Below are 15,396 nucleotides of genomic sequence, written 5' to 3'. Positions count from 1 at the left end.
CTTCCTTTTTTAAAACATTAAATCATACATCCATATGCCCAACACCAAACTTAAGAAATAGAACCTTTGGCTGGGCGTGGTGGCTCATGCCTATAATCCTAGCACTTTGGGAGGCCAAGGCAGGCAGATCACCTGCGGTCAGGAGTTGAAGAGCAGGCTGGCCAACATGGTGAAACCCCTTCTCTACTAAAAATACAAAAATATTAGCCAGGCATGGTGGCGGGCGCCTGTAATGTAACCCCCGCTTCGTGGGAGGCTGAGCTGGGAGAATCACTTGAACCCAGGAGGCAGGGGTTGCAGTGGGCCGAGATTGTGCCATTGCACTCCAGCCTTGGTGACGAGAGAAACTCCGTCTCAAAAAATACATATATATAAAAGAAATAAAACCTTATCAGTACCTGTAGCACCCTGTGTGCCCCTCCCTCGTCATGTCCTCTTTGGGAGGTATCTTGAAGGAAATACGAAATCTTGGCCAGGAAACTGGAGGATTCGTGACTGCAGGTGGTGTTTTCATTATTTTTTCCTGCTTTAGCTAGAACTTCAGGGAAGGGACGATGTGGGAGGTAAATGGCTGAAACTCTATTGGATTTGTGTTTGTGGCCAATGGCTCCTGATACCAGAAAGAAGGGCCTTTTTCTGTGGTTGGAGTATTTCTTAAGAGTCCTGAGAAAAATGTGATGCCTTGAGCTAACTGACCTTCTGAAGAGGACCTTAAACTGAATTTCCAAGTTATTAGTGTCGGGATTCACAGACTTTGGAGAATAGCAGGTATGACTTGGAAAGATGTACAGGAAGGAGCCAGAACAATATATATTTATAGGCTCTGATGTCCACAGTGACAACTTGAGCACCATGAATACTAAGCAAAATGGTACTGGAGATAAAGTATAACACAAAGATGGGATTGAGGGCAGGAGGGAATGCGACCTGGTCAGCAACTTGGTAAATCCAACTTGCTATGTTTTTAAGGAAGTTGTTTTCTGATGTTACAGGCAGCATCGGAATTACTAAATTGAATTCTGAGGTAGTGCTTTAAAGAAATGCGTTCTTCTGCCCCTATTCTTTGGAATACTTACTAAGTATGCTTACTATTCCTATTCTTGGGAATACTTGGCTAAGTTCTTAGTTTTTGATATCATAAAAATTCAAAGTATTCTGTTCTAAGAGCCATTGCAAATAGTTGACTAGAATTTCAGAGCAATTACATGAGAGTAATACCAACAGAGTTTTTAAGTTACCCATAGTCCTGTATCCCTAACAAGTATGTTCATGCTTGCATGTTCTCTTCTCATGTTTACTGTGTGCATACTTTCTTAGTAATGGCATGTAGAAATTGTTTAAGCAGGAATAATTCTCGAGATAGTTTTGTATGTTTCCTTTTTTCTTTCTAAGGTATGTATTGTGTGGAGGAGCATTACGTATTGAACTTCTCACAAAACAGGTGATTATTTTCTTATAATACTCAATTTTCACCCTCAATAGAGTGTTTCGATTACGTAAGTTAGGTTGTAAGTAGAAGGTTCTCTTCAAGAAATTTTAGTGTTTTTTTTTTCATAGCTCCTACTTTCAAGAATGAAAAAGGTAACCCAGTAAAATGACACTGTACTTGGTGCTGCATCTATGCTGGGATAGGCATTAAGAGTGACCTTTATTTAAGGTTCTAATTTGCTCATGTAGGCCACTTGCAACATCCGTTTGTTGTTTTTGGTGAGATTCTGGAAATGGTCCAATTTTACTTTTTCCCCTTGACTCCAGACTTTTTAACACTGATGTGCTGCTGTTGAGGCATATGCCGTTTTGTTAGGCCTCCTCAAGTGGGAATCAGGAATGCTGCTGTTTTCTAGAGATGTTTTTTCCTTCCTGTAGGGCTGAAGCAGTGCCTACTCGACAGAACCGGTCATCGTACAAAGAAATGCCACGTGACTCAAAGGCAAAGCCAGAGTGCAGCTTGGAGCAAAGAAGGTATTTTATTAAGAATTTTCCATAAACCATAAGATATATTTTATATTACTTTGTGAGCCTTCTGCCTGTCTTGACTTAATTCTTTTTGAGAGAATTTGTTTCATTTTCATTTGGTTTGTTTTCTTCTTGTTACAAAGATGATCTATAGAAAATATAGAAGTATCATTTCTTTATTATTGCTTTTTTCCCGCCTCTGTGCCTATGCCTACCAAGTCTTTTTTTTACTTTTTATTAACTCTTTCAATCCTCTTAATAACTTAAAAAGAGGGTATTACTAATATCTGCATCTTGTGGATGAGGTAACTGAAGGTAGGTAACTTGTCCAAGGTCACAGGTGGCAGAGCAAGGATTAAAACCAGACCGTCTGGCTGCCCAAGGCCCAAGCAAGAGGAGCTGAGAGCAAGCCATTGGGGAGAAGGATGTTGGTCAGGCTGGTTTCCTGTTCAGTTACCATGAAACGCAGGCTTAACCTTAATTCTAGGACATTACCAAGAAAGCCTTGCAAAGCCATAGGTTTTTTACCATGACCATGACTTTTAGCAAGAATTTGTGGTTTAAAGGCAGCGTGGTGCTCTAAGAAGCTTCCGTTCACTCTTACAGAGGGACTGCTGGTTGAGCTAAATAGTGAAATCCTGGTGGAGCACACAGCCTTTAGGGCAGCTTGTGACCTATTTCTATGGTCAGGAAAGACACCTGTCTTTCCCTGCTGCCTACAGCCTCCAGTTATTCACCTTCAGAATTTCCTAGTCTGTGATCACATTCAGATGAGAGATCTGTTTTGTTTTTTCCAGGGTAGGAGGAAGTGAGTCATCACCTATACTAAGCAGTCTAGTCTTCTGTATATAAATGAGCAAGGTTGGGGAGCCAAATTTGAGAACCTTGTGTAATCCTGACATTCTCCAGGAGAATCCAAGAGAATATCAGGATTACGGACGGTGGTAAAGGGGTCTCTTGTTAGTTGTCCCCACAGCTCTCATCAGAAGCACGCACAGATACTTTTTCTAGGAAACCATCTCTAACTTAAGCCTGTAGGATTCCCAAAGATTAAAAGCAGGCAACTATGAATTCAGTGAAATCATAGCATTCAAGTAGTGAACCCAATATATTTGAGAATTATCAGAAACAATGAATGTTTCCCAAAGACTGTAGGTTTTGGAATTATCAGATACAGAATACAGACTTCAAATATTAGAATTGTGAGAAAATAGTTACATGTGAAATAAATGTATTATATAAGAAAAAGATGGACTCATAAAATTGAGCGAGCAGGAGCAGTAAGACCACCAGGAATGATGAGGAAGACCTGAAAGGAAAATGGATGAAATAGAACTTACAGAAATAAAATATATAGCTGGGTATGGTGTCTCACACCTGTAATCTCAGCACTTTTTGAGAGGCTGAGGCGGGAGGATGGCATAAGCCCAGGAGTTGGAGACAAGCCTGGGCAGCATGGTGAGAACTCGTTTCTCCAAAAAATACCCCACCACCACCAAAAAAAAAAGAAGAAGAAAAAAGCTGTGTATGGGGCACCTACCTGCCTATACTCCCAGCTAATCAGGAGGCTGAGGTGGGAGGATCACTTGAGCCCAGGAGGCCAGGGCTGCAGGTTCGTGCCACTACAGTCCAGCCTGGGTGACAGAGTGAGACTCTGTCTCAGAATAAAATGAAATAAGGAAATATAAAATGGAATTGTTGAAATAAGAAACCGAGTGGATGGATTAGACACCAGAAGAAAGGATTAATTGGTTAGACCATTATCTCCAAAAAGTAAGTCCATATGTTACACAGAGAGATATGAGGATAAATGACAGGGCAGAAGTTGGTGGGGTTGGCGGGGAGAGGGAGATCAGAATGAGGTCTAAAATACGTCTTAGTGGAATCCCAGGAGGAGATATTAAAATTATATTGGAAAGTGAGAGAAATGGAAGTTCTAAAGGTGACAGAAGGAAGTCCACATAAATGAGTCACAACAACTGTAAATGGACTAAAGTTACCAGTTAGACAGATGGAACTAATAAAACGATATCCAGCTGTTCTAATCCATCTTATTGAAACTATGAGGATGTGAAAAGATTGAAAGTTTTTATAAAGGAGAGAGAGAGAGAAAGATATGCCGGTATACATTAACCAAAACAACTGATGGAGCTTCAGTTTCAAACAAGATAGGATGTTGGAACACAAAGCATTAGTAACAGCTTGATGCCAACTGACTGTTAATTAGGAGGTTGTAGCAATTTTCATATTTTATGTACCTATCAAAATAGACTCAAAATACAGAGGAAAAACTGATAAAACCACAGGGAGAAATTGACGAGTCTGCCATTGTATTTGGAGATTTCAACATACCCTGCTTACCATAAGTAAGTTACACAGAATGCCCATATATAGATTTGAATAACCCGTGAATGGACGTGATGTAATGGACAAATATAGACCTCTGTACCCAATAATCAGATATTCTGTATTCTTCTCAAGCATATGTGGACTGTGGGAGAAACATTAATTATGTATTAATCCATTAAGCACGTCAGAAGATTGAAAAACAATTGGTACAATCCACACCATAAAATTGATAATTTAAATATGAAGCAGTTAAGGTTAGAAGTTAATAATGAAGAGATTAACCAAAGGCTTCATGAACTTGGAAATTAAACACCCTTGTAATTCATAGTTAAAAGAATCCAATGAAATTTTAGAATGCTTAGAATTGAACCATAGTTAAAATAGGAAACTTCTATCTACCCCTCTCTCTCGCCCTCTCCCTCCCTCCAAGGCCCAATTCTTATATTTCTGCTTGTTAATTTGCTATAGTTAATTCGGATATATACAAAGACTAAGAACAATTCCTTGAATACAGTGACAACCTGTACCTGGAATAGTCCAAAGCCTAATTACCCTGACTCCTCCACCAACAGTTCCCAAACTGGTGTACTAGAAAGTCTTCCGAATGCTCTTTGCAAAAAAAACAAAAACAAAAAAACAAACAAACCAGAAAACAACATCGTGGCCATATAAATTCATTGTTCTGAGAGGTCCCGTTGAATTTACCAAGCATTTCCCAAATTGATTTATTCATCAATAATCCCGAGGTGCTGGGATTACAGGCGTGAGCCACCATGCCCGGCCTTCCATAAGGCATGTAAAGGCACTTCCAAAGGTAGAATCAACAGACTTTCCAAAAGTCAGTGGCAAGGTCTCCAGACTCAGACCCGCCTTCAAGTTCCAACCCCCAGCAACCCAAAGGCAATGAATTGTCCTCCCAGAATAGCATCAGATAGCGATTAGAACGTGGTCCTCAAATTCTCCAGATCAACTCCAAAAACATATATACTATTAACAGGGGAAATATTGTGAACTGAAGTCTTTAACAGATAACATTAATCAAAAACATTTCTATGGGTAAACGATTATATATAAAATAGGTTTCTCACCAACAAAAGCCCCTATAATTTCAGGCTGATGACAATTTAACTTATGTTTTAAATGCATAATTATGTCAAATAAATGCATCTACAAAGGCCTGAATACAATCTCTGAGTCAAAGGTCGCCCCATCTTCTCAATGTCACATTTGATTATACGTGTATTTGAGAGAACATCACTCATTATTTGTTTTGGGAGTATAATGGAATATTATCTAATATTTTGGATATTATGGAAACTAGTTGATTGGAAGTCAATGGCACTGTTTCTGTTAAAAGAGTAGGATCCTCCTCAGTAGACAGAGACGTGTAAGAATAGTCATTGTACATCGACAGAGCGTCAGTATCAGGCAGTGGCTTCAAAGCCAAAGTGGTGGTTGGATGTAAAGTGGAATTTTAATTGGCAAAGGAGGCGGATAGTGAGCAATGTTGATTCAATAATAACGTAAAGTCCAGGAAAGCCTGTGGCTGTAAAGAATGTTGAGCCATAGAGCCCATGGGAAATAGGAAAGGGGGCCTCGAAATATTCAGAGACTCGTAGAAGGGTAGCGTAAATACCTAAGGTAATTGTGATGGCTAGTGCTTGAAGTATTTGCTTTCGACTACCTTCTATCAGGCTGTCTAGAAACTTGGAAGTTTCTTGAGGGCAAGAATGAAGTCTTTTACAGCTTGTGGTGTGCCTCTGTGTACCCAACAGGTCCTCAATAAATAATGTGTTACCCTACTTTGTCATACAATATAGGACATACTTAGCTGTACAGCACGATGTGATTTGATCACACCTAACCTATGAGTGGACAATCACAGCGTTCTATCTGTTTAAAAACAACACTCCCTATTCCCTTTCACCTTCGTAATATATGCGTTTGGTTTCTAGGAATGTTGGTTCTACCCATATGTTTTTAGGCAATAGCACAATCTGTGATGTGCCTAAGTAAAATTATACCAAGCATTCTATGGCGGCAAAGCTAATGCACTGCTCTTTGTTTCGATTAAGATTTTAGACGTTTGAAAATATAAATTGAGATATTGGACAGTGAGGGTTTTATTTTGGAGGTTGGAGGAGATTGAAATGTTGGGGTAAAACTGCTAGGCTCCTTTGGGACTTGTCTGTCAGGGTGGGGAGAATATACAAGTTAACCAAATCTTGTAAATTCTCACAGTGCTTAGTTTTGTGACTGTACAAAAACTGGCATTGTTTTTCCTGGGTCTCAGTGGAGAAACGTGAGCTGTGAGATTAACATCCTCTTTACTGTGTTTTGGCCAGGATTTTGCAAGCTTTTGTGGAGAAAATTATATTGCTTTTTTTTATCCTGTTGTAACATATATGTATATCAGTATGCTTCCTTGTGTTTTACTGTGGTAAAATTGTATCTTGCATATAGAGAAATAAGTCTATTAGAGTGAACTTTAAAAAATCTTTACTCTGAGGTGCCAGCCTTGTGTAATGAACCATATGTTTAAGCCTCGTAAATACATCACACTAGAGCCCAGCATGGTGGCGTGCGCCTGTAATCTCAGCCACTAGAGAGGCTGAGGCAGGAGTATCGCTTGAACCTAGGAGTTTCAGACCAGCCTGGGCTACATAATGAGATCCCATCTCAGTCAGTCAACCAGTCAATCAGTTACACAAAAAAGATCAAGGTCTTTCTTGCCCTTTTAGAATGTCTTTCCCAAACATTCTAACAAATGTCTCGGTGTCTCAAATAATGAAAAGGGTTTATGACAGAGTTACGGCAGTCATCAGAGAAAAATCCTGGACAGATTGCAAATGTATACCAGTTGTGAATTTCTATGACTGCAATTGAAATCCAACATTATTTTTGTACGGTCTTCTTGGGTGTATCTGTGTTTAATAACTTGTTTTCAAATTTAGAGGACTGTAGCTATGGTTTCTTCTTAGAGACCTTGACCTTGAGGGGCTCACAGTTTAATGGAAGAGAGAATTAGAAACCAAGAACTAAATGCAGAGAGTGAGGTTCTGCAGTACAGGGTGTATAGAGGGTGCAGAGCAGCACTGTGGCGCCGTGTTCTGGCCTCATCTTCTACTGCTCTAGACTTCCTGAAATGCCATTTCCTGACCCCACCTGGACCTCTCTCTGTAGGTGCTGTTCTATCTCCTTGCAAGCCTTTTCTACAGCTTAAGTGCCTGCTGAAGTTCTGTTTCTTCAGAAGCTTCTTGAAGACTGCCTGTAGCTCACCCAAATAATTGTTTTGTCTACATCTCTGTTATTTCTTTAATTACAGCCAATTCTTACTATTTGCAGGAGTAATATTCTACAAAGTTGCCTGGAACACTGAATTAATCAAATAGCAAACCCTTGTTTCCAGGGTAAATATGTACATAAATACATATGTCATATAGGTTATCATCTTAATTCCTAAAAACAACTCATCCTGGTAGATTGAATTTTCTTTCTTTCCAAAAGAATAAAGGAAGTACAGAATTGTAAGTGATTTGTCTGAGGCCACTCCACTAACAGGTGCCAGTGTTATGATTCAGACCCCGCCCAACTGGCCCCAGAGCCACAGCTTCTTGCGCTACCCTGCAGTGTCCTCTACTGTCTCTGTCCTCAGGTCATCTTTGTATGAGAGTTGAAACAAGCAGACCAAGGTCACTGTTTGACCTTAGCTTGGGACGTGTGCAAAGAGTGACAGAGTTTTCACTACTGCATGTCTATCCAGGAGCCACCTTGAAAGTGCCACAAGTATTAATTTGGGACTTAGAAAGACATTTTAGCAAGTAAGCTAATTTGAAAATATGGGATACTCCAATGATGAGGGTCAACTGTATTTGTAAGTGACTGCTAGGGTCTGTTTCATGGTAATCCCTTCCCGCAAGAATGTGGAATGTTTCTTTAGCTTCTTTGATAGTTTATTTATTCATTCATGTATTTATTAAGTCCTTATTATAAGCCAGACTCTGCTTTAATCTGTGTGAACAAGCTAGAGATTAAGGTCCTGCCCTGTGGATTTTATATTAGAGTAAGAAAGACAGATAGCTAAGTCTGGAGCTCGGGGGGGTGGGGGGCGGCGAGGCCCCGGTTGGAATTATAGATTCACTTGACCAAGGTGAAACCTGGTGTGCCCCCTCCTGCTTCACATCCACAGATATACTTCCAGAACATTTCTGTTCTATTCTTGTGTATAAAATCCTCCTTTTGAGCCTCTCTCCATTGATGCATGTCAACCTCTACCTGTCTTTTGTTGATTTTGAGGCCACTTGCCCATGTGGCTGGCAGGATATTGAAGAAGAATCATACTGACCTGGCTCTGCTACCTACCAGCTGAGTTACTTTGGTCAAGCTCTTGGACTTCTGAGCCTGTTTCCTGATTTCAAAAGTGGTGATATGATGTGTTAGGCACTGGTGGGTTGCAAGGAAGATGCACGCATGTATTCCCTTTGTGATGAGGGCCGAATGTTAACTTGGATGGAAAGTCATCCAAGCAGCCATATTGTCTCTGGCCCTAGTACTTTCAAAACCTCACAGAACATTAATTTCACAGTATTTAGGATAGGACTTGAGCTCTGAAGACCTATAGTGTGGTTATTTGTTCATATGGCTGTTTTCCATACTAGACCATGAGCTCCGTAAGGGCAGGATCTACAGTTTCATCTTTCTATCCTGGGCACTCAGTTCACTGCCTGATACACAGTAATAGAGGCACAAATGTTTCAAAAGTTGAGGAATTTTCAACACTTCCTGAAAGAATAGGAAGATATAAAGGCTTCTCAGAGAAGGTATTATTTAAGCTTTTCTTTTTCTTTTTCTTTTTCTTTTTCAGATGATGTCTCACTCTGTCACCCAAGATGGAGTGCAATGGCACGATCTCAGCTCACTGCAACCTCTGCCTCCCAGGTTCAAGCAATTATCCTGCCTCAGCCACCCGAGTAGCTGAGATTACAGGCCTCTGCCACCATGCTCAGCTATTTTTTGTATTTTTAGTAGAGACGGGGTTTCACCATGTTGGGCAGGCTAGTCTTGGAACTACTGACCTCAGGTGATCCGCCCACTTTGGCCTCCCGAAAGTGCTGGGATTACAGTCATGAGCCACCATGCCCAGCCTATTTATTTCTGATTCTTTAAGGGTGAGTAGAAATTTTTTCCAGGTGACTAAAACCTTGAGACATTATTCCAAGCAGAGACCAGCGGGGCAGAGACACGGGGATATAGAGATGTTGAAGTTTACCAAACACTGCTAGATTTAAAAAACAGAAAAGAAACAATCAAAATCAAAAATTAAAATTAAAAATCACCTAAAAAAAAAGAAACTGTTAATGGGCTTGTCCAAAGGTGACGTCACAATTGAGTTAACTATGACCATAGACACACAATAATGGATGGAAGTTTTGGGGAAAAAACATAACATTCTCAGGTTGTTGGCAGAGTATCTAGAACAATTTAGAAATACAGATATTGAATTCTGGGAATAATTACACTGTAGTGAAATCATTTCCTTCTCTGCGTATGAAGCATGTATGTGTGGCACACTGTTCAAGGTGCTGAAAATCAGACTCTTCTCAAGGAGCTCATGAGCAATCAAGGGAGATGGATGGGTGAGCCACTGATTATCATGTGACAAGTGGGGTAATAGAGATATGACTAAAATGCTATCCAAAGAAGAAGAAAGGAATTATTCATAGTATATGGAGTGCTGGGGAAAGAGTTCTGAAATGAAGCCGGCCGGGTGTGATGGCTCACACTTCCACTACCTGACCTCAGGTGATCCACCAGACTCGGGCTCCCCAAAGTGCTGGGATTACAGGTGTGAGCCACCGCACCCAGCCCAAAAGCTTTGTGTTTTTACGGATATTAACCATGTTTCCTGTTTAAAAAGAAAAAACAGCAACAATGTAGGAGAATAAGAGAAACATTTTTCCAAAAAAGAAATCATTTTGATTATTTTATCTCATTGGAATGTTGGATAATATAGTCTGCTTCATTAATCATCAAGCATGCTGTGGATTTCCCACTTTTATAGGATCTGTATCTCAGTTCAGGTAATACTGGTAATTTTTATACAGTATTTGAAGATGAAAAATATAGGCCAAAATGACAGACCTTGCATAGAAGCTGGTTAATGAAGACAGCTCTGGAGGAACACATGGATACACACAGAGAGACACACACATATATATAAAGTATACACACATATGATTTTTAAAGTTTTAAGGGTTTTAAAGCAAAAGCCAGCCCCTCCACTCTCCCAGAGCGGGCGGCCCCTCCCCTCTCTCAGAGTGGGTGGGGACAGCGGTTGCATGGGCAGCTTTCCTGATGAGCCACAGGTCCCTCTGGACACACTGCCGCCTGGCCACGCCCCCTTTCCCTGTCATCTTTCTCGTTGGCCAATGGGCTTGAAGCATTAAGGCCACGCCCCTATTCTGCATTCTACTGTGGCCCTGGTTACGCTGCCTCTGGGTCAGTTACGCAGCTGTCTTCCAGGTGACTGGATGTGTTGATCAGCGCTCGCTGGGATTTGGCTGACGTGGCCCCAGCCCCGCCTCCCTCCCCACCCCACAATGGCAGAAGAAACTGGACAGAGTAAATTAGCTGCAGCCAAGAAAAAGGTAAAGACGTACCGGGTCATGGCCCGCTAACCCAGCCACAGATCCCCTCCGACGACAAGACCGCTGCCACAGTCCATACTACTCCTGACGCACACCGGACTTTGCCCCCCAACCCCGGCGCTTCTGGGCTCCCCCTACAAAAGTCTTGTCAGTCAGCCCTGCCCCTTCAGCAAACAGCTCAGTCCCTGCCCTCGCCGATCACCCCGGGGTGACGTTGGGCGGGTGACTCCTGGGGCGCCCCACTCCATTACTGGGCCCTCACCTCTTGCCGCCCCAAGTTGGACCTCCCTGGGCTCTTTGGGCTCGCATATCCAAGGACCTGGGCCCCCCAGCCCCAGGCCCCGCCCTCGCCAGTTGTCCCTGGGTGACTTTGGGCTGGTGACTCCTGGGGCTCCCTGCTGCAGACTCTGCCCTCCCCTCCTGCTGCCTCAAGGTCGACCTCCCTGAGCTCTTTGTGCTGGCGTCTCCAAGGACCTGGGTCACAACCCTGTGTTTCCCTCCCGCGTTGTGGAGTGGAGACTCGGACATCGCGCTGATGTGGTCCCTCCCCCGCACTAGGAGGAGTGGAATGTAGTGATGTCACAGTCTGCCTACTAACTGTCATTACTGGAAGACTGGCCCTGGTCTTATGACCCAGTCCCCTAAACGTTGTCACCCCGTTTCTGGTTCTTCTGGTCACAGCAGAAATTTCCAGCTGGAAGGGAAATGGAGACTATGGGACCTGGGAGCAAGAGGTTTCAGGCTGCCTTACTCCCTTACCATAGACATTGACAGTGGGAAAAGCCTACACTTCCCCCGTGAGCTCAAAACGTTGACAGTGTCTCTGGGTGGCGATGGGAGAATGGGTTTGGTTTGGTTTTTCTCCCAAGCTTCTACTTTCCAAAGAGATTTTAACATTTTTTTCCGAGTTCTCCACCTCATATTCTAATTCTCCATGGTTCTGGGACCAGACTTCAGTCTGGGACCTTCAGTCAGTGGTCTCTGAAGTGAGATTTCCTCATCTTCTGTGGAATAGATCTTGGGAGACTGAACTTGACAGTTTGAATCTTCCTCATATTATCTCAAGCTGGGGTGCTTTGAGTACCACAGGATAAATGTGGGACATCTTTCTGAAGCATCAGTTTCCTTTGATTCTCTTGAGATATCTTGAGATAAGAGAAAAAACATGAATGTACTTAGGGATGGCAGTCCCATAGGTTTCTAAGAGTATACCAGACTTCTCTCTGAAATGAGGCTTGGGTTGTCCTCTTTCTGATAAATTCCCAGATTTCACAGAAAGGCTGCCTTCTGCCATGAGGACACATTGATATAAAAGTTTGAGAGGTACTGGTGCACTTCTTCCCAATAACAGACGTGTGAAGATGTACGACTCTAAACCACATGACATACAGCTCCTGCCTACTTAATGTTTACTTTTCTACCTCTGCCTCTGGGTTTGGTGCCTGGCAAAACCCCAGAGCTTAGAGTGGGAAGACTGAGTTTCCAAGTTCCAGTATCGCTTTTTTCTTTTTTCTTTTTTTCTAGCCATGATGTCGATCCCTCTCAGTCCCTAAATGATTGTGACACCTTATAGAGTTGTTGGTGTCATTAAATCAGATGGTATATAAGAGTATTTTATAAAAACTATAAAGGAGGATGTGGCTGTAGGGGCTGATAGTTCTCATGAGTATTACTGCTCTTCTTTCCCACAGTTCAAAGAATATTGGCAGAGAAACCGCCCTGGTGTTCCAGCAGCAGCGAAGAGGAACACGAAAGCAAATGGCAGTAGCCCTGAGACGGCCGCTTCTGGTGGTTGCCACTCATCTGAGGCTGTGAGTCTTGCCTGGACAGGCTTTTGGGGACAGGGGGCCCAAGGAGCAGTAGAGGGCAATCGTTAAGATTGTGGATGGACTGTTGGGTACTGGTGAAGGATTCTGGATTTGGCCGGGCACAGTGGCTCACGCCTGTAATCCCCACACTTCGGGAGACCGAGGCAGGTGGATCACAAGGTCAGGAGATCGAGACCATCCAGGCAAACACGGTGAAATACTAAAAAATACAAAAAAAAAAGCCGGGCGTGGTGGCGGGCGCCTGCAGTCCCAGCTGCTCCGGAGTCTGAGGGAGGAGAATGGCGTGAACCTAGGAGGCGGAGCTTGCAGTGAGCCAAGATCACGCCACTGCACTCCAGCCTGGAAGGCAGAGAGAGACTCCGTTTCAAAAAAGAAAAGAATTCTGGGTTTGAATCCTGCCTCTCCGTCTGCTAGGGATATGATTTAGGGCAAGTTGCTTGAGCTCTTTGGGCCTCTGTTTTCACGTCTGTATGATAGAGGTGGTATTGTTTGACTTGTATTTGTGAAGTTTCAATGAGATTGATAATTGTCGATTTTATGTTAATCCCTAGTACATGGCCTGCTGTCAACACCCAGGACACCCAGGATATGGTCTTTGCTGTTTGATTTTCCTCATCCCCAGTCTCAAGGGGAAGCCAGGACAATGAGAACAGCCACTTCCCATCAGGAGTCACTGCAAGGCCCCCAGGGTGGGATGGTGGGGAGATAAGAACCGTGAGAGAAGTTGGCACAAAGGAGTTATGGGACAAAGGGTCCAAGATAGGCAGAAAAGAAAATGTTGCCAGTTGATGGGGAAGAAAGGAAGTCGGAGGGCTCAGACACTGAGGGGGACAGAACATCTCCATGTGCAGTCTCATCTCTTATAGTCAGCAACAGGTATCCACGGGGAGGGCCCTACATCATCTGCTACCCTGAAGGATCTGGAGGTAGGAGGCTCTGGGCGGAGGTGCAGTGACCCCGCAGGCCAGCCCTCCAACCTCCTCCCGCAGCGGGGACTGGGTGCCCCTCTGCCAGCTGAGACAGCCCACACACAACCCAGCCCTAATGATCGTTCTCTCTACCTCTCCCCCAAGTCCTCCTCCGCCTCCTCCTCTCTGCATGCGCGTCAGAGCCCGTGCCAAGAACAAGCAGCAGTCCTGAACTCGAGGTCCATAAAAATCAGTCGACTGAATGACACCATCAAATCTTTGGTAAGAGTCCAGTGGGGTCCCCTGATTCCACGCTGCCAATCCTGGGCTCCGGTTTCCTCTTGGGGCCCTGAAGAAGGGGGCTGGGGGCCCCTGGTGCCAAGGGCAGATAGGGAGCTGGGGCGCCCAGGCCTCACCTGGCGGGACCCCAGAGCATGCAGCATGGCTCTTCTTTTGCTGCCCTCTTTGCCGACTCTCTCCTCTCCAGGCACCCCTACTCGAGTCCTTGCTACACACGCCCTGGGGTTGTTGCCTCTTGGGGAAGTGCTGGCCTGACTGGTTGTCAGGGGCCCCGTATTTCTGCCATGACTCAGTCCCTAATTTGCTCTTTGATTCTGGACAAGCCACCTCTCCTTTTTGGGCTCGTGTTTCCAGAGGAGGTAGTGAGTATCAAAGGTCTGTGTTAGCTCTGAGAGTCTGAGATTTAAAGGCCCCCTAGAATGGAAAGCTCAGGGCCAAGGGCTCTTGTCTGTTCTTTTCCATCCTATATCGGCTGTGAAGAACCATCCCTGGCCCGTACGTGCTCAGTAAATGTCTATTGAATGAACACACTTTTCTAAATCACAAGCTGGCAGAAGGGGGAGCCTTTCTCAAACTCCATCTCTAGAGGTTTATGTTACTGTCCTCTCAAGAGATTCCTGATTCAGACTTTGAGTTGTGAGGCTGTGGCTGAAAACCAACAAAGACCCAAATCCTCTGTCCTTGGGAGCTTGGGAACAGTTCCTGTTCCCATTGGGTCTGAGAACTTTGCCTTTAAAATCCATTCCTGGCCCCTGCCTGCCGCTTCCTGTCTGGGGAATAGAGTTGAGGGGGCCACCCTCCATCACTTTAATTTGACTCTCCCCACAGAAACAACAGAAGAAACAAGTGGAACATCAGCTGGAAGAAGTAACGTGATTTCTTTGTTTGCTGGCGACATGACTGCTGGGTTTGGGGGACACTCAGATGTAGAGGCCCCAGTCTCGTCTCACCCACTCCCAGCCTGGGGAAGGAGGCTCACCCCTCAGATTCCACCCCATCCCCACAGGGTCCCTGATAACCTGGTCCCATGGGTGGGCCTGTCCTGGGGCATTGGTGGCATTCTGGGGGCATATCTCTTGCTGTGCCTTCTCTGCCTCCCCCTGGTAAGAGCTCTGTCTTCCTCTTCCTATAGGAAAAGAAAGCAAACAATGAGAAACAGAAAGCTGAAAGGGAGCTAGAGGTGAGTGGAGGGTGTGAAGTTTCCTCCTGTCCTCCGGAGAATGTTTCTTTCCTTCTATTTCAGCACTTGCTTGGCTTTTCTCCCAAAGGGTCAAATCCAGAGATTGAACACAGAGAAAAAGAAACTAAATACGGACCTGTATCACATGAAACATTCTCTCAGATACTTTGAAGGTGGGAATCTGGGCACCCTGTCATCCTTCAACCTGGCACTTTGACAGGTCTGTA

The 15,396-nt window shown here is 44.0% G+C and overlaps 1 protein-coding gene across 14 annotated transcripts in view; it reads left to right on the top strand.

The window, feature by feature from the left end:
- The window catches only part of GOLGA8A (golgin A8 family member A), a 58,741-nt gene that overhangs the window by 37,213 nt on the left and 6,132 nt on the right, over nucleotides 1–15,396 (top strand). For 4 of the 14 annotated variants that reach the window (NM_001368072.2, NM_001386893.1, NM_001368071.2 and 1 more), the window contains 9 exons: nucleotides 1,393–1,441; nucleotides 1,867–1,962; nucleotides 9,170–9,473; nucleotides 10,828–10,952; nucleotides 12,644–12,763; nucleotides 13,855–13,971; nucleotides 14,818–14,856; nucleotides 15,122–15,169; nucleotides 15,258–15,342. In NM_001368072.2, the coding sequence (NP_001355001.1) occupies nucleotides 10,905–10,952; nucleotides 12,644–12,763; nucleotides 13,855–13,971; nucleotides 14,818–14,856; nucleotides 15,122–15,169; nucleotides 15,258–15,342 (457 nt within the window). In that variant the 5' untranslated portion in view covers nucleotides 1,393–1,441; nucleotides 1,867–1,962; nucleotides 9,170–9,473; nucleotides 10,828–10,904. Of the gene's footprint in view, nucleotides 1–1,363; nucleotides 1,442–1,866; nucleotides 1,963–9,169; nucleotides 10,953–12,643; nucleotides 13,972–14,817; nucleotides 14,857–15,121; nucleotides 15,170–15,257; nucleotides 15,343–15,396 lie in introns of all 14 variants that reach the window. The other 10 variants (XM_047432261.1, XM_047432257.1, XM_047432260.1 and 7 more) reach the window with 6 other exon arrangements.

The sequence above is a fragment of the Homo sapiens genome, chromosome 15 (genome assembly GCF_000001405.40).
Source record: "Homo sapiens chromosome 15, GRCh38.p14 Primary Assembly".
In the NCBI taxonomy this organism is placed as follows: domain Eukaryota; kingdom Metazoa; phylum Chordata; class Mammalia; order Primates; family Hominidae; genus Homo; species Homo sapiens.
The sequence above is the reverse complement of the archived record's forward strand: the minus strand, read 5'-3'. Positions and strand labels throughout refer to the sequence as shown.